Here is an 18,596-nt window from a genome sequence, read left to right as displayed (position 1 = left end):
AGGTATTGATGGGACGTCTCTCAAAATAATAAGAGCTATCTATGACAAACCCACAGCCGATATCATACTGAATGGGCAAAAGCTGGAAGCATTCCCTTTGAAAACATGCACAAAATAAGGATGTCCTCTCTCACCACTCCAATTCAACACAGAATTGGAAGTCCTGGCCAGGGCAATCAGGAAAGAGAAAGAAATAAAGGGTATTCAAATAGGAAAAGAGGAAGTCAAATTATCTCTGTTTGCAGATGACATGATTGTATATTTAGAAAATCCCATAGTCTCAGCCCAAAAACTCCTTAAGCTGATAAGCAACTTCAGCAAAGTCTCAGGATACAAAATCAATGTGCAAAAATTACAGGCATTCCTATACACCAATAATAGACAAACAAAAAGCCAAATCCTGAGCAAACTTCCATTCACAATTGCTACAAAGAAAATAAAATATCTAGGAATACAAGTTACCTGGAATGTGAAGGGCCTCTTCAAGGAGAACTACAAACCACTGCTCAAGGAAATAAGAAAAGACACAAACAAACAGAAAAACATTCCATTCTCACGGATAGAAAGAATCAATATCGTGAAAATGGCCATACTGCCCAAAGTAATTTGTGCATTCAATGCTATTCCCATCAAGCTATCATTGACTTTCTTCACAGAATTAAAAAAAACTACTATACATTTCATAAGGAACCAAAAAGGAGCCCATATAGCCAAGACAATCCTAAGCAAAAAGAACAAAGCTGGAGGCATCGTGCTACCTGACTTCAAACTATACTACAAGCCTACAGTAACCAAAACAGCATAGTACTGGTACCAAAACAGATATATGGACCAAAGGGACAGAACAGAGACCTCTGAAATAACACCACACGTCAACAACCATCTGATCTTTGACAAACTTGACAAAAACAGGCAATGGGGAAATGATTCCCTGTTTAATAAATGGTGTTGGGAAAACTGTCTAGCCATATGCAGAAAACTGATACTGGACCTTTTCCTTATATATTACACAAAAATTAACTCAAGATGGACTTAAGATTTAAAACTAAAATTATAAAAACCCTAGAAGAAAACCTAGGCAATACCATTCAGGGCATACACATCGGCAAAGACTTCGTGACTAAAACACCAAAAGCATTAGCAACAAAAGCCAAAATTGACAAATGGGATCTAATTAAACTAAAGAGCTTTTGCACAGCAAAAGAAACTATCATCAGAGTGAACAGGCAACCTAGAGATTGTGAGAAAAGTTTTGCAATCTATCCATCTGACAAAGGGCCAATATCCAGAAGCTACAAGGAACTTGAACAAATTTATAAGAAAATAAACAACCCCATCAAAAAGTGGGTGAAGGATATCAACAGACGCTTCTCAAAAAAAGACATTTATGTGGACAAAAAACATAAAAAAGCTCATCATCACTGATCATTATATAAATGCAAATCAAAACAATGATGAGGTACCATCTCATTCCAGTTAGAATGGCAATCATTAAAAAGTCAGGAAACAACAGATGCTGGAGAAGATGTGCAGAAATAGGAATGCTTTTACACTGTTGGTGGGAATGTAAATTACTTCAACTATTGTGGAAGACAGTATGGCAATTCCTCAAGTATCTAGAAATAGAAATACCATTTGATAAAGCAATCCCATTACTTGGTATATACCCAAATGATTATAACTCATTCTACTATAAAGACACATGCACATGTATGCTTATTGCAGCACTATTCACAATAGCAAAGACTTGGAACCAACCAAAATACCCATCAATGTTAGACTGGATAAAGAAAATGTGGCACATATACGCCATGGAATACTATGCAGCCATGAAAATCAATGAGCTTATGTCCTTTGCAGGGACATGGATGAAGCTGGAAACCATCATTCTCAGCAAAGTAACACAGGAACAGAAAACCAAACACTGCATGTTCTCACTCATAAGTGGGAGTTTAACAGTGAGAACATATGGGCACAGGGAGGGGAACATCACACATTGGGGCCTGTCAGGGTTGGGGGGAAAGGGGAGGGATAACATTAGGAGAAATACCTAATGTAGATGATGGGTTGATGGGTGCAGCAAACCACCATGGCACATGTATACCTATGTAACAAACCTGCACAATCTGCACATGAGTCCCAATACTTAAAGTATAATAATAAAAAAAGAAACCAATAAGGCAATCCTAGTTATAATCACTACAAAAAATAGAATACTTAGGAATCAATTTAACCAGGAGGTGAATGATCTCTGCAATGAAAACTACAGAACATTGATTAAAAAACTGAAGCAGGGAAAAACAAATAGAAAAACATCAAATGCTCATGGACCAAAAGAACCAACATTGCTAAAATAACCAAACTACCTCCAAACAATCTGCAGATTCAATACAATTGTTATGAAAATACCAATGGAATTCTTTACAGAATAGGAAAAATATCCTAAAATTCATATAGAGCTGTGAAAGCTCCCAAATAGTCAAAGCAATGCTGAACAAAAAGAACAAAGCTGGAATCATCACACTACCATACTTCAAAATACACTGCAAAGCTATAGTAACTGAAGCAGCATGATACTGGCGTAAAAAAGAAACATAGACCAATGGAACAGAAATAAATCCCAGCATTTATAGCCAGCTGATTTTTGACAAAGGTGCCAAGAACACACTGTGGCAAGCATATCCTTTTCAATAACTCATTCTGAGAAACTGGATATTCATAGGCAGAAGTATGTAACTAGACCTCCACCTCTCATTTTATACAAAATAAACTCAACATGAATCAAAGGCCTAAACGTAATACCTGAAACTACAAAACTACTAAAGGAAAACACAGGGGAAATACTTCAGGGTATTTGTCTGAGGAAAGATTTTATGAATAAGACCTCAAAAGCACAGGAAACAAAAGCAATTAAAAAAATGACATATCATACTAAAATTTTTTTGCAAAGGAAACAATCAACAGAAAGAAAAGACAACATACAAGAAGAAAAAAAATATTTTAAAGTATTTATCTGAAAGGGGATTAATATCCAGAATATATAAGGAACTCAAACATCTCAATAGCAAAACAAACAACAAACAAACCAACAAAAAACCATAGCCAAATAATAAAATTTAAAAATTTGCAAATGATCTGAGCAGTCATTTCTCAAAAGAAGATGTGCAAATGGCTGAAAAATATATGAATAATGCTCAACATCACTAATCATCAGGGAAATGTAAATTAAAATCACAATGAGGTATCATAGTTAAATTGTTTATTATCAAAGATACAGAAAAATTTGAAAGACAAAAATAACAAATACAGGCAAGGATGTAGAGAAAATAGACCTCTGCTACAGTTGGTAAATGTAAACTAGTATAGCTACTATGAAAAACAGTATGGAGATTTTTCAAAAATCTGAAAATAGTACTACCATATGGTTCCACAATCCCACTACTAGGCATTTATTCAAAGAAAACAAAATCAGTATATCAAAGAGACATGTGCAGCCCCATGTTTATTGCAGCACTATTCACATAGCCAAGACATAGATCAGCCTAGGTGTCCAACAACAGATTAATGATAAAGACAGTGTGGTATATATACACAATGGGCACAATGGAATACTAGTTTATCATAAAAAAGAATGAAATTCTGGTATTTGTGGCAACATGGATGAAACTGGAGGATGTTCAGTGAAATAAGTCGGGAACAGAAAAGTTAAACACCACATTCTCACTTATATGATGAAGGTAAAAAAAAAAGTTGCTCTCACAGAACTAAGAAGTAGAATAGAGGCTACTAGAGGCTGGGAAGGGTAGGAGAAACGACAAAATAGGGAGAGATTTGTCAACAACTACAAAATTGCAGCTAGTTAGGAGAAATAAGTTCTAGTATTCTATAGCATTGTAGAATGACTATAGTTAACAATAATACATAGTTTCACATAGCTAGAGGGAGGATATTGACTGTTCCCAACACAAAGAAATGATCAATGTTTGAGATGATGGGTATGCTAATTACCCTAATCTGCTCACTGTGCATTAGATGTATTGCAACATCACCATATATTCTATAAATATGCACAATATTGTGTTGAATAGACTTTTTTAAAAAGAAATTTAAAAAATGTGTCATGCCCTAACCACTCCTTTGTAATAAGAATTTATACTAGTAGGACTTATTAGTAGGTTAGTAAAATATTGTCTTTAGAGACAATAACAATAAAAAAGAGAAGTATTGAAAAAAGAATTATCTAAGAAAATATAAAATGATGGTTGCTTTAAAGGGGGGAAAAGGCAGCTTTGGCAAAGAAATAAATAGAGTATGTATTGCTACCCTGGGGCTAAGAAGTAGCTCTTGGGCTTACAAGTATATAAATCTACAAGATTAGGTAATGCAAAGACAAATAGCTCCTTGAAGGTTATAAAGGTTATAGAGAGTTGTAGACAGCCAAGGTAAGAACTATTCATGGATGATTATCAGTGCTCTTGAAGAAGATACACTAATTGACAGAGGAGAAGGGAAATTGTGAGCGCTTTTTTTTTTTTTTTTGGGCAGCATGGCATCTGATGAGCTAGTGAGCACTGAAATTTAAAAAAAAAAAAGGTCAATATAACTGGAGCACAATCCACCAATCATACAAATGTCAGATTCAAAAGACCACTACTGTAACTTTAAGTGTCAAGGAAAATCCTGTGAATTTAAAGTATCTGAGTGTGAGCATACATGTAATATATCGCTTTTGCATTATTACAAAATCAATACATTTTGAGAATATGTTATGTACACCATAGGGCATATAAACAATCTTAAAACCTTAAAAGATTTTATTTTATAAAAGCTAATCATAAGAAAGTCTTAGAAACCCAACAGAAGACCACGTATTAGAACAAATTAACAGAACGTTTGTCTGATTGCTGATATATTTTAATTCGATCTTTGCATTTAGAAACTGTTAATAAAGTAAAAATCAAATGAAAGGGGTAAGTTTTATGTAAAGATTTTTTTTAAGACAGTCTCACTCTGGTTGCCCAGGCTGGATTGCAGTGGCATGATCTTCACTCACTGCAACCTTGACCTCCCAGGCTCAGGGACGAAGTACCTGGGATAACAGGTGCACAGTACCATGACTGGCTAATTTTTTGTCTTTTTAGTAGAGAAGGGGTTTCACTATGTTGCCCAGGCTGGTCTCAAACTCCTGGGCTCAAGCAATTTTCCCGTCTCAGCCTCCCAGAATGCTGGGATTACAGGTGTGAGCCACCATGCCTGGTCTACATAAAGTTATGAAAGATTATGGTTTGAACTGTATTTGGAAATACACACATATGAATTTTACTCATACAGTAAACATATCATGATAAACTAAAAACAAAGTAATGAACAAAAACAAAATATTGCCTCCACTTGAAAACAGTCTTGAAAAATAGAAAAACCAATGGCCAGAATCCTCTTATTAGAATATGGAAAAATAGATTTCATTTTGTTTCAAAAAAAAAAAAAACAGTCTTACACTTTTCCCCTTTAGAAGAGTCTTTTTTGCTGAGTAATATTTTCATATTGTTAACCTGTTAAAAAAATAAAATCATACATTATTTTTCTGTTTTCTTTTTGTATTCATTCATTGGTTCTAGCATGTTTTGGATTTTATTGAGATGTGGAATATAGTAAGGCAGGTGTTCCCAACCCCCAGGCTACAGACCAGTGTCAGTCCATGCCCTGCTAGGAACTGGGCCTCACAGCAAGAGGGGAGTGGTGGGCAAGACAGCATCACCACCTGAGCTCCACCTCCTGTCAGATCAGAAGCAGCATTAGATTCTCATAGAAGCACTATTGTGAACTGTGCATGCAAGCAATCTATGTTTCACACTCTTTATGAGAATCTAAAGCCTGATGATCTGAGGTGGAACAGTTTCATCCCACCACCATCCCTCCTGCTCCACCCAACCCCCTGCCACCCCCCCAACCCCCCAACTGTGAAAAAATTGTCTTCCATGAAATCAGCCAAAATGTTTGGGGACTTCTGTAGTAGAGCATCATTTGAGTAATCACCTTTCTTAGAAACACTTGCTAATGCTTTTTGATTTGTACTAATAGTATCAGAATTAGAAACTTTATCTTCATCATGAAGCAAATCTCACTTAACACCAAGGATTTTGCCAGAGACCTCTCTCTGATGTGCCTGTGTGCCTGTGTGGGCCTCACAGCATTGTTCTTTTATTCTTACAACACTTTATGTGCTTATTTCTCATTGCACAGAAATTTTCTTAACTTCTGATTTGTATGCTGTAGCCCATTCATGCAGTCTTTACACTTTCTGCCTTTTCAGGTTCTGTCAGGGAACAAGAATTTCCAAACATTTTTGGGAATTGGTTGAATGTTACTTGTGCTGAAAACTGGTTTATTTTTAGCTATCCAACAGTTGACTGTTTATACTACATTTGTGACTCATCTATTTCTATGTAACTCTCATCAAATGCTGTCATGCCCCTTGAAAACTATGATCTGGAAAGTGGACCTGGCTGTCTCCAAGAAGGCTGGTCAATCCCACAGTCATGTTTGTTTACCTGAGAGTCAGCCTTAATCATTCCCAGATTACTCCAACTTTAAACAATTTTGCTTCACAGGTAAAGACAAACAGAGTACAATAATATGTTTCCAGAATTTAAAAAAACACTAGAACCATGTTTTGATGCTGAGTCTTTGTGTTGTAGTATTGTGTAATTTATCTTTTCATGTTTGCATGTAATTTATTTATAAATTTATATTTTTAATTTACTTAAAGTTAAAATTTAAGTTTAATTCAATTTAAACTTAAATTTTTAATTTGTTAAAATTTAAAATTTATAAATTATGTAATTTACCTATTTATCAAGTTATGACATAATATAATATGTCACTGCTAATGGCTTCTCTAAGATTGAGATATCTTTTTCTCGTAGTTTCCTTGCTATAAAATAGACAATGTAGGTATTTAATAACCTGCTAAAAGGATAAATGACTGAAGTTCACAGTAATTATATTAATTTTAGATGAAGTCAGGTAAGGTCCTTATTTTAAAAGTATTTAGATGTAATAACAGTTTGCATCTTGAAGTAATTGCTGGTTGTTGATGAGACATATATGTCAGAATTGTTTTTTTCTTTCATTGAATAGTTGTGTTTTTTCATTGAATACTTAATACATGTTTGCCTCATTTCATAACTGACAAACACATTGCCATGAATTAAGAATATTCACAAATAGTTTACAAGACTTTAGGCAGAGAGAGAAATGTGACTCAAATTCTGTTTACAAAAGTATACTCAATATACTTAACTATATTTCAAGGCAATAAATAGATCAAAAGAAAAAGATCCCCAAGACTCTGAAAAACAAAACAAAAAGAATCAGTAATATTTCAAACAACAAACACAATAAAACGTTTTTTCCTTTCTCCATTAGTTCAATCCATGCAATCAACTCCTGCTCTGCTTCATATTGGGTTAGCAATATTTACAAACACATCAGTTTTTCAGTTAGTGCCCTGAATGTTTTCTCTCCAATCCAATGGCACAATCTCCAAAGTTATCAAAATCTGCATTCAAGAGTCCTTTTCATGAACTCATCCAAAGAAGCAAGCCTTGGAGTGTGCTGATTATAAGTCACTTTTTTTGAGGAGGATCAAAGCAAAATATTATTTTTGAATGACAAATTCTTAAGACAGCTATAGTTAAAGACAGAGCTGACAAGGAAATTTGACTATTCTGTGGCATACAACAATTTAATGTAATAATTACCAACAACATATATTAGGACACATCAGATATTCAGGAATGCCATACAGTCATGGAACACATATTGATAGCTGCAGGAGGCAGGCAAATTCCTGGGCAGAGAGGGGCAGGTCTGCAGTGAAACCCAACCTTTAAGTCAGAGACAGCCTGAAGCCTGAAAACCAGGCTGCCAGTTCTGAGTAGAGTCCACAACCCAGAGTAGGAACTTCCTTGATGCCTTCAGGCCAATCAGATGATGCTTTTTCCATGTCCACCCATGGACCAATCAGCATGCACTTCTTCCACTCTGAGACCATAAAAACCCTAGGCTCAGCTGAACTCAGATACATGTCAGGACTACATGCCTGTGAGTAGAAAGTACCCACCTCAGGTCTCCTCTCTGGTGAGAGCTGTTCTGTCACTCAATAAAACTTGTCTCCACCTTGCTCACTCTCTAGTTGTCTGTGTAACCTCATTCTTCCTGGACACAGGACAAGAACTCAGGCCCCGCTGAACTGTGGGCATGAAAAGGTCTGTAACACTTTCCTAGCTGCCTCACTGAGCTGTGGGTGGGAGTGAAAAAGGGCCGTATGTAACACTTTCCTGGCCAGATCACCAAGCTGTGGGCAGGTGCAAAGGGGGTGGTAACACTTCCTGGCTGGTTCACCAAGCTGTTGGTGGGACAAAAAGGGGCTGTAAAAAGTTCCTGGCTGGCTTACTGAGCTGTGGGTATTGACACACTCCCATTCACTAGACTGAGGGAGTAAAGAATGGTGACACTTACAGGTGCCCAGACCTCAGGATTCCCTGAAGCAGAGCTCTAACACTATAGCCCTCTCGCCTTCCAACAGCGTCAGGCAGCCGCCCAACATGACAATGTGTCTGGAGTTTGTCCCTTCTGGTGGGTTCCTGGTCTCACTGACTTCAAGAATGAAGCCATGGACCTTCACAGTGAGTGTTACAGCTCATAAAGGTGGCACGGACCAAAAGCCTGAGCAGCATCAAGATTTATAGTGAGGAGCAAAAGAACAAAGCTTCCACAGCTTGGAAGGGGACCTGAGCAGGTTGCTACTGTTGGCTGGGGTGGCTAGCTTTTATCCTCTTATTTGTCCCCACCCATGTCCTGCTGATTGGTGCATTTTACAGAGTGCTGATGGGTCCATTTTACAGTGTGATTCATCCATTTTACAAACCTCTGGCTAGCTACAGAGCACTATTTGGTGCTTTTTTACAGAGCACTGATTGGTGCATTTTACAAACCTCTTGTAAGACAGAAAAGTTCTCCAAGTCCCCACTTGAACCAGGAAGTCCAGCTGGCTTCATCTCTCAATTTCCCCTCTAAACAGGACATCCCAACATTCTCTGCTGTTGGGAATTGAGCAATGACAACTCTAGCTACTCCCTGCTGGATAGGGGTAAAGAAGGGGCCCTGCAGTGGTAGTGTCCTCCAGAGGGGAACACTCTAGGCTACCCAAAGGGCCAGTGGGTCGGTTCAGGGGTCCTCGGCAGAAGTTGTTAGTTGACCTCATTTGGGGTTCCATTTCTAAGACCATCTGTAGCTTGATGGCCTTGATCCTGGAGGAAACAAATTTGACAAGGAGGTTAAAAATACAGGGCCTGAAGGCGAGTAATAGCAAGATGGCTGTCATGGCAACTAGAAAGGGGAGAAGCCATGTCACCCAACTCCAAAGGTTGGTAGAAGAGTTTGAAAGGTGTTGTCTGATTTCAGAAACCTTTTCCTGTACACGCCGGGTGGTGTCTCATACTAACGCTGACTGGTGAGTATAAAAGCAACAATCTTCCCCTAAGAAGGTGCAAAGTTCTCCTTTCTCAGCAGTGAGGAGGTCTAGGCCTTGGTGGTTTTGGAGAGTCACTCCTGCCAAAGAGTCTATTTGGGATTGTAGAGTAAGGATAGATTTTATTATTTCTCGCAAACTGTTTGAGAAATCCTTTGAGAGTGTGTGGTAGTAAGAGTGAAGTGGACAAACCTGCTATTCCAGTTCCTGTAGCAGTGGCCATTCCTAACCCTATAAGTAGGGGTATTATTGGTATGGCCCTGAGCTGATAGACATGAGCTTTGAGGGGCACCGATAAGGTCTGATTTCCACAAGATTAGGAGTTAGAATAATACATGTTACACTGTTAACTTTTAGCAAACTTTACTTTTGTTGAAACCTTGTAAGTTTGGGATTTCAATTATTCTTTGCTATTAATAAGACCTCGTTCAGTCCATATTAACTTAGAATTGGTATAGATGGCTCTGTCCTTATTCTGTAAGTAATTTAAGGTTTGGCTGAGTGCACACAGCTCTCACGTTTGAGCAGACCAATTATTAGGCAATTTTCCTAACTCTGCTTCTCCAAGAGTTTCCTTATCACTTACTGAATACCCATTGTGTCTTTTTCCCTGAATAGCCCAGGAGGAACTATCTATCATCCTGTCCTGGCGGGAGTTCCTCCCAGGTCTGGTAGGACCTTTGTATGGTAACTAATTAAGATTTAGATCCCCTGTTAGGAAACTTGCTGGGTTACGGATTTTTGATAGGAAGGCTACAGGTTGTCAGTGACCTCAGTGTTTTCAGCCTGGCTCATTGAGCTGTGTGTGAGCCCTTGTTTACACTGACAACAAGGTGGTATTGCAGTGTTATAAGGTCATGGAGAAGACCTTCAATTATCAATTATGGGTCTTAAATTTACCCTGGATTTTAAAGGAATAGGATACACTGTTTTTTCTTTACTTCACTACTTCCATCTCTCTCTTTCCTTCTCTCTTTGACTTTCTTTCTCTTTCTCTCTGACTTCCTGTCTTTCTCTTTCCTCTCTGCTGGTCTTTCCCTACCTCTGCCAGCCACTTATGCTGCTGTTCTCCCCTTTCCTTCCCCTTTTTGATGGCTTCAGTAGTGTAAGACTGCCGCCTCCTTGGGTTCTTGCACTGTGTGCAATAACTCCATGATTTCCTTGTGGTATTTAATGGGGGTTCCCCCAGAGGTTAGGAGCTCCCTTTCTTTCCATATTGCAGCATGGGCATGTAGGATTAGATAAGCATACTTGCTTTCTGTATACACATTTATTCTTTTACCCTTTCCCAGTTCTAAGGCTTGAGTAAGTGCCACTAGTTCTGCTAACTGGGGTCTGGTCCCTGGGGGAAGAGGCTTAGTTTCAAGTACTGTTACATCACTAACTATGGCATAACCTGCCCTTCGTATCCCATTCTCCACAAATGAACTTCCATCAGTATATAGGTTAAGGTCAGGACTAGCTAAAGTGACTTTTAAAAGATCATCTCAGGTAGCATAAGTCTGGACTATAATTTGTTGGCAGTCATGCTCCATTTGTTCTCCATCCTCTGGGAGAAAATTGGCAGGGTTGAGGGCCACACACATGTGTATTTGAAGCACTGGTCCCTCAAGGAGTAGTGCTTGGTATCTGAGCAGGCAGTTGGCTAATAGCCATAAACTTCCTTTGCCACCTAGTATGCCATTTACATAATGAGTAGTCCAGACAGTGAGATCCTTTCCTAGTATTATTTTGATAGCCTCTGATACTAAGATGGCCACCACTGCAACTACCTGTAAACAGTGATGCTAGACTTTTGCTACTATATCAATTTCCTTACTTAGGTATGCCACTGGTTGTGGGGTTGGCCCACAAGTCTGAGTAAGGACTCCAAGAGCTATTCCTCCTCCCTCTGTGACATATAAAGAGAAGTTTTGTCCTATGGGAAGGCTTAAGACTGGAGCTTGTACTAGGGCCTGTTTTAAGGTTTTGAAGGCTGTTTCTCCCTCTGGTTCCCATTCTACTAGATGAGTATTTGTCCTCTGGGTCTCCTTGATTAGAATATAGAGGGTCCTGGCTATCTCGCTGTATCTGGGGATCCATAGTCGGCAAAAGCCGGTGATTCCAAGGAACCCCACAACTGTTTTAATGTCTTAGGGTGAGGATAAGTCAGTATAGGCTGTATTCATTCCTTGCTGAGGGCCCTGGCTAAGATTAGGCCTAGACATTTGACTTATAGGCAGAGCTGGGCCTTCGATTTAGACACCTTGTACCCTTGATTAGCTAGAAAGTTTAAGTGATCTAGAGTAGCCTGCTGGCATGAGGCTTCTGAACTGGTAGCCAGAAGTAAATCATCCACATACTGAAGGACCAGAGTTCCTGGACTTGAGAAGTGGCCTAGATCTTGAGTCAGTGCCTGGCCAAACAGATGAGGGCTATCCCTAAACCCTTGGGGCAAGAACGTCCACGTAAGTTGGGATGTGTGGTCTGTGGGATCCTCAAAGGCAAAGGGAAACTGGGAGTCAGAGTGCAGGGAAAATCAGAAGAAGGCATCCTTTAGGTCCAGAATAGTGAACCATTCTGCTTCCTCTGGTATTTGAGAGAGCAGGGTATAGGGGTTGGGTAAAACTGGATGTAGAGAAATTACTGCTTCATTGATGAGTCTAAGACCTTGCACTAGTCTCCACTGACTGTTTGGTTTTTGCACTCCTAGAATTGGGGTGTTGCAGGGACTGCTGCATTTTCTTATTAAGCCTTGTGCATTTAAATGTCTAACAATATTCTGTAATCCTTTATGAGCTTCAGGCCTTAAGGGATATTGCATTTGATAAGGAAAAGTGGTGGGGGTCTTTTAGCCTGATTTGAACTGGGTGGGCATTTTTTGCCCTTCTGAATTGTCCTTCCAATGCCCAGATTTCAGGGTTGATTCCCTCCTCAAGTAGGGGACAACAAATGGGTAACTTGTCCCCCATATTCATGTAGATAATAGCTCCAGCTTTGGCTAATATGTCCCTCCCTAATAAGGGTGTGGGACTTTCAGGCATAACAAGAAAGGCATGTGAAAGAGCAAAGTTTCACAATTACAACTGAGGAGGTGGGAGAAATACCTGGTTATAGGCTGTCCCAGGATTCCTCGGATGGTAACAGACCTTGAGGACAGCTGTCCAGGACAGGAAATTAACACTGAGAAGGCCACACCAGTGTCCAGGTGGAAGTCAATTTCCTGTCCCTCAATGGTCAAACGTACCTGGGGCTCAGGGAGGGTAATGACATAAGCTGGCACTTGCCCCAGGCACCCTCAGTCTTGTTGTTGGATTATCTGGTTGGGGGCTTCTGGCCCAGAGAACCTTTGTCCTCTGAGGCGGTGTGCCATCCAGTAATTGCCTTGGCATGGTGGACATGAGCGAGTGGGTGGCTTGTTTCTCATTGGACAATCTTTTTTAAAGTGTCCATGCAAACCACACTGATAACAAGCCCCACCAGGTGGTTGGCCTGCTCCATTTTCTGTCCTCTTTGAACCACCAAGGTTTGTTTGTCTGAGGGCCATGACTAAGGCTGAGACCTTTCTCTGATCTCACTTTTCCTTTCAGCCTGTTCCTCTTGGTCCCTATTATAGAACACTGAGGTTGCCAGGTTTAATAGTGCCTCCAGATTTTGTTCAGGGCCCAGGGCTCGCTTTTGGAGCTTTCTCCTGATATCTGTGACTGATTGGGTAATAAACGTATCTTTTAGGATCCATTGACCCTCGAGGGAGTCAGGTGACAGGGGAGTATATATTCTTAAGGCCTCCCATAGCCATTCAATGAAGGCAGAACGATTTTCTTCCTTTCCCTGAGTTATGGTGAACATCATTGAAAAATTCATGGGCTTTTTCCTAATTCTCCTTAGTCCTCCTAAAACACAGGTCAACAGATGTTTATGACTCCAGTCCCCATGATCTGAGTCGAGGTTCTAGTGGGGATCCATACTGGGGATGGCTTGCTGACTGGTAGGAAATTTGTCCCTTTCTTTGACTGTCATTCTATCATTTACTTGACTAAGATACCAGGTATCTCCAAACTCTTGGGCTGCAGCTAAAGCTGCATTCTTTTCATTAAAGGCCAAGATTTGATGTAACAATAGCATGACATCTCTCCAAGTGAGGTCAAAGTTTTGCCCTAGACCCTGTAGGACATCTATGTACCTACCAGGATCATCTGAAAACTTCCCCAGATCTTACCTTGATCTACTTTAAATCAGAGAGGGAGAAGGGGATATGTACCCAGGTTGGGCCAAATTCCCCTCCCTCTACAGCTTGAAGGGAACATAACCGATAGCCCGGGGGGTTTCATGGTCCTTTGGAGATTTCTTTGCTTGTTTCCTTCTGGGCAGGGGAGATTAGAGGAAGTTTATAATTAATAGGAAGGGGAGCTATAGGGAGGCTAGGATATGGAGGTAAGCTGAGAAGTCCTCTTGTGGAATATAAATTGCAAGGCCAGGCCATAATGCAAAAAAAAAATGAGCCACCTCTTTTTCAGAGTTTGCAGGTCAAATTGGTCCCAATGACTTAGGATGCATTTCAAGGGTGATCCTGTTGATGCCTATGTGTTTCCCATCTGAAAGAAAAAATGCCCGCAGTTCTGGTTTGTTTGTTTGCCCCCCCATCCCCCACCCAAGAACCCGCAATGGTCCCCAGACCCTGCTGATTGGAATAGTTGTGTTCACAAATGCACAGCAGCAGATCCCCCTCTTGCCCAAGAACTTGCAACGGTTCCCTGGACCCTGCTGATTGGCATAGTTGCACTCACCAATGCAGCAGCAGGAACACTAGTTTTCCTCCTAGACCACAAAGAGGACTGAGGAAGGTCAGATTTAGTGGCCCTTACTGATGCATTCTTGAAAACCTGCACCCTTGCCTTTCCTCTTAGACCACAAGGAGGATCGAGAAGGGTCAGATATAGTGGCCCTTACCAACGCATTCTTGAAAACCTGTTAGAGTCCTAAGCATTTTCTCCTGTTAGTATTGGGACTTTACCCCTGTCTTATAAAAATGATATGCCTCAAAACGGAGTGGAGGGCCATACACTGAGGGAGGGAAGGGATCTCCAGGGTTGGAAGAGTGATGCCTTTTGTCCTCACTTCTCATCATATGGATAGGAAGGATATCATTTCTGAGGCTCCCCATATCCTAGCTTTGGGAATAGCCTTTGTTAGGCCTGCTAGTCTGAGGAGAAATCCTAAAATTCCAGATAGCTTCCCCCACCAATGGGGCTTTGGGAAAAAATTATGTCTTTCTGACTGGTGAGCCTGGGTGCCTAAAGAAAGGAACAGAGTCCTGAAATTCATACTAGAAATCATTCTTATAGGAGAAACTAGAAAAGCACCAGAGACAGGGAGTGGTTTTTTTTTTAGAAGCGGGACTAGCCTTGGAGAAGAGAGGCAGGAGGAAGTTTGTCTGACAGGTGTTAGGACCCAGGAGGCAAGCGTCAGGATAGATAGAATAGATGGGCGAGTCTCGTTTGGGTGACGGGACCTTGAGAGTTCTGCTCATGGCTGCAGGGCCAACCAACTTTTTGTTGGGACCCCGGAGCTGAATGGCTTTCCTCTCTGTTGACCCTCAGCTCAGCCCAGAAGTACAGGAAAAGTGGAAGATGGATCCAGGCAAACCACCACTCCCAATTCCAAAGAGTCAGGGGTTGTTAGAGAGCACTTTCCCAAAAAGCCTGACACCTGTGTCTTTAGTCTGGTGACTGCGTTAGTCGCTTTTAATTGGCCAACAGGTGCCTGGTGTTTAGCCCCCAAATTCTAAGGAAAAATAGGACAGAATGTCAAGCGAAAGGGGCCCAATGGTATTCACCACTTGGCGATAGTACCTTCGTGGTCACCAAGATGTGTCCAGAGATTGTTCCTTCTGGTGGGTTTGTGGTCTCACTGACTTCAAGAATGAAGCCATGGACCTTTGCAATGAGTGTTACAGCTCTTAAAGGTGGCATGGACCCAAACAGTGAGCAGCATCAAGATTTATTCTGAAGAGCAAAAATCAAAGCTTCCACATCACGGAAGGGGACATGAGCGGGTTGCCACTGCTGGCTGGGGTGGCCAGTTTTTGTTCCATTATTTGTCCCCGCCCATGTCCTGCTGATTGGTCCATTTTACAGAGTGCTGATTGGTGCATTTTACAAACTTCTAGCTACCTACAGAGCACTGATTGGTGCATTTTTACAGAGCACTGATTGGTGAATTTTAGAGCTCTCTAGCTAGCTAGAGGTTTGTAATTGGTGCGTTTTTACAGAGTGCTTTTTACAAACCTCTTGTAAGACAGAAAAGTTCTCCAAGTCCCCACTCAACCCAGGTAGTCCAGATGGCTTTGCCTTTCAACAGGAAGTGGTGGTGGGGCTGGGTCAGCCCAGAAACCATGGGCTGGAGTGAGGATTAAACAAGCTGAAACACAACCCCCCTCACTCGCTGGCTGTGGGCAGCAGAAATGAGAGCTGTATCCCCCCTCCACACACACACACACCTTGGGGCTCTGTGGTTTCTGGCATCTCTGAGTTTTTGGGCACCACTGTGTTCCCTTTCTCTAGGTGCCATCGCCTGCAGTGGAAGCCACTTGTGGTACACCTGGTCCAGCTGTGGCCATGCATGGAGACAGCACCTGTGCTGGCACCTGGAGCTGCCTGGCCCACCACAGCAGCAATGCATCTGGCTGTGCAGTGGCTGGACCCTGTGCTTGCTCACTCACAAACCCCTCACCACTCCATGCCTGCCTTGCCCTTGGGCATGGGATCTGGCCCGGTAATGCTAGCTGAGCACAGCCTACTGGGACAAGTGGGCAGAACGAGCCCAGTGGGCATGAATGAAACTCAAGCAGAGGCACTGACAGCCACAGGGTTCTGGGTTGCAAAATGACACCCAAAAGATCCCATGATATTTCTGAGGGCTCATCTGGGATCTGTGGAAGGGTGAGTAAAAATGGACTTGGTGATTTCTGTCCTTTTGTTTAGAGTCCTTAAACTCTACAATAGCCAAAATGAAAGAAAAACACTGGGCATCTGTTGGCCACGTAAAAGCAACTAGTGTGTCTGCCGGACTTAAGACATGGAGGTCAGGCTTGCTGAGGAGGACACTGTCAATTCCCCCTCATCCTTGAGTGTTGGGAATGTTGGCTTTGTTCCAATCCAGTTTCCCTTCATGGAGGTCTTGTCATCACAGGGGATCGAAATAAGGTCTTGGAGCAACTGAAGACATCTGGTGAGGCCACAACTCCATGTTGCCTGTAGGCCCCTAGACTGGCTCCAGTCCCTGACAGCCCATTATGGTGTCAGCACTAGGCCCTCCAGTCTTTCCTATAATATTTTCTTGTTTCCTTTCTGGCTGTCATGGCTCCTATCTCTTCTTCACATACAATGTCAAGGGTGTTGCTGCAAACCACTGAGATAATATAGTCATCAGGAGTGTAATTTAGAACAATGTGGTTTATTTCTATTCTTAGAAGTGAGGAGGATGTAATGATTGAAGCCTTCTTTCCCCCATTGAGGAAGCCTATTATCATAGGGCAAGAGGCCACCTCCTCCAGGCACCTTCTCCTCCATTGCACTTAAGTTGTTTCTTTTTCCACCATGTCAGGAGTCAACACAGTCCTGTAAATACAGGGAGACTTTCTTTTTTCTTTTATTTTTTCATTTTGTTTGTTTGTTTTTTGAGACAGAGTCTCACTCTGTCACCCAGGCTGGAGTGCAGAGGTGCGATCTCAGCTCACTGCAACCTCTGCCTCCCAGGTTCACGCCATTCTCCTGCTTCAGCCTCCCAAGTAGCTGGGACTACCGGCGCCTGCCACCAAATCTGGCTATTTTTTTTTTTTTTTTTTGTATTTTCAGTAGAGGCGAGGTTTCACCATGTTAGCCAGGGTGGTCTTGATCTCCTGACCTCGTGATCCACCCACCTTGGCCTCCCAAAGTGCTGGGATTACAGGCATGAGCAACCATGCCCAGTCAATACAGGGATACTTTCTATGTGAGAGATTTACTTTTCCTTTTGGGAGGCATCTTCTTAGGACAGGTCCCCAATTCCTAGGACTCCCTTTCTCTCCTTAGTTTGAGAAGAACCTGATTCCACAGCTTTACCTTAGCATTCTGCTTATGATAGAGAAGCAATGAAGAAACTGCCCCACTGGTTGCAGGCTTCAATTATGCAAGGGCCACCTGGGACTAATCTAAAGGGTCCATATACCCTCCTGAGGCAGCTTTTTGTCTCAAAATCAATTCCAAGCTTCTGGCTGAAGCCCTGAAAAGACAAACTATACCTGAGGGACCCAGACGCAGTTACAGCAGAAAGCCAGGACACAGTGAAGGTAAGCAAGACTATCCCTGCTGATTAGACCTTCCTGATCCTAGGCAGAGAACTTGCTCACATCCATGGCATAGGTGAGATCTAGGGAATCCACAGGTTACTGACAGCAGGAAGATAGGGAAATGTAGGTAAGTGTGAATATCCCTACTCACTAGGTCTTCCCACTACATGGGTGGAGGTCACATTCACACCCATGGGTGGCACTGCTAGGGGCTGCCAGGATTCGGGAAAAAAAGAAAGGAAGAAAAAAGGGGCTGCCTATTCACTCTCAGTCACATACCCCTGGTTTTTGCTGGAAGAGAGACAAACTAAGGGATGCTTTTCCCCTCTTCCAGATGGGTAATCATCATCTTCAGCTTGCACTCCTCTTGAGTGCATCCTGAATCACTGGGACTTCTACAACCCTCAGACTCTGGAGAAAAATCACCTCATATTTCCTTGTACAAAGTTGTGGTCAGGTTATGTTTTGCAGGAAGGAGAAGCTTGGCCTCAGGAAGAAAACATTAATTTTAATACCATCCTGCAGCTGGACCATTTCTGTAAACATGAGGGCAAATGGTCTGAAATCCCCTACATGCAGGTTTTCTATGCCTTGCAGGGTAATCTGGACCTTTGCCAACATTGAATCGATTCAGCCATCCTAGCAGCTATCTCAGGAGAGGCTGCAAAAGGCAATTCCAAGGGAGTAGGAAAGCAAACTCCACAGGTACCTCCAGCCAGGGAGTCAGCTCCCTCTGGTCCTGCTCCTCCTGGT

Source organism: Homo sapiens, chromosome 13 (assembly GCF_000001405.40).
Source record: "Homo sapiens chromosome 13, GRCh38.p14 Primary Assembly".
Classification (NCBI taxonomy): Eukaryota; Metazoa; Chordata; class Mammalia; order Primates; family Hominidae; genus Homo; species Homo sapiens.
This window is presented reverse-complemented; position numbering follows the sequence as displayed.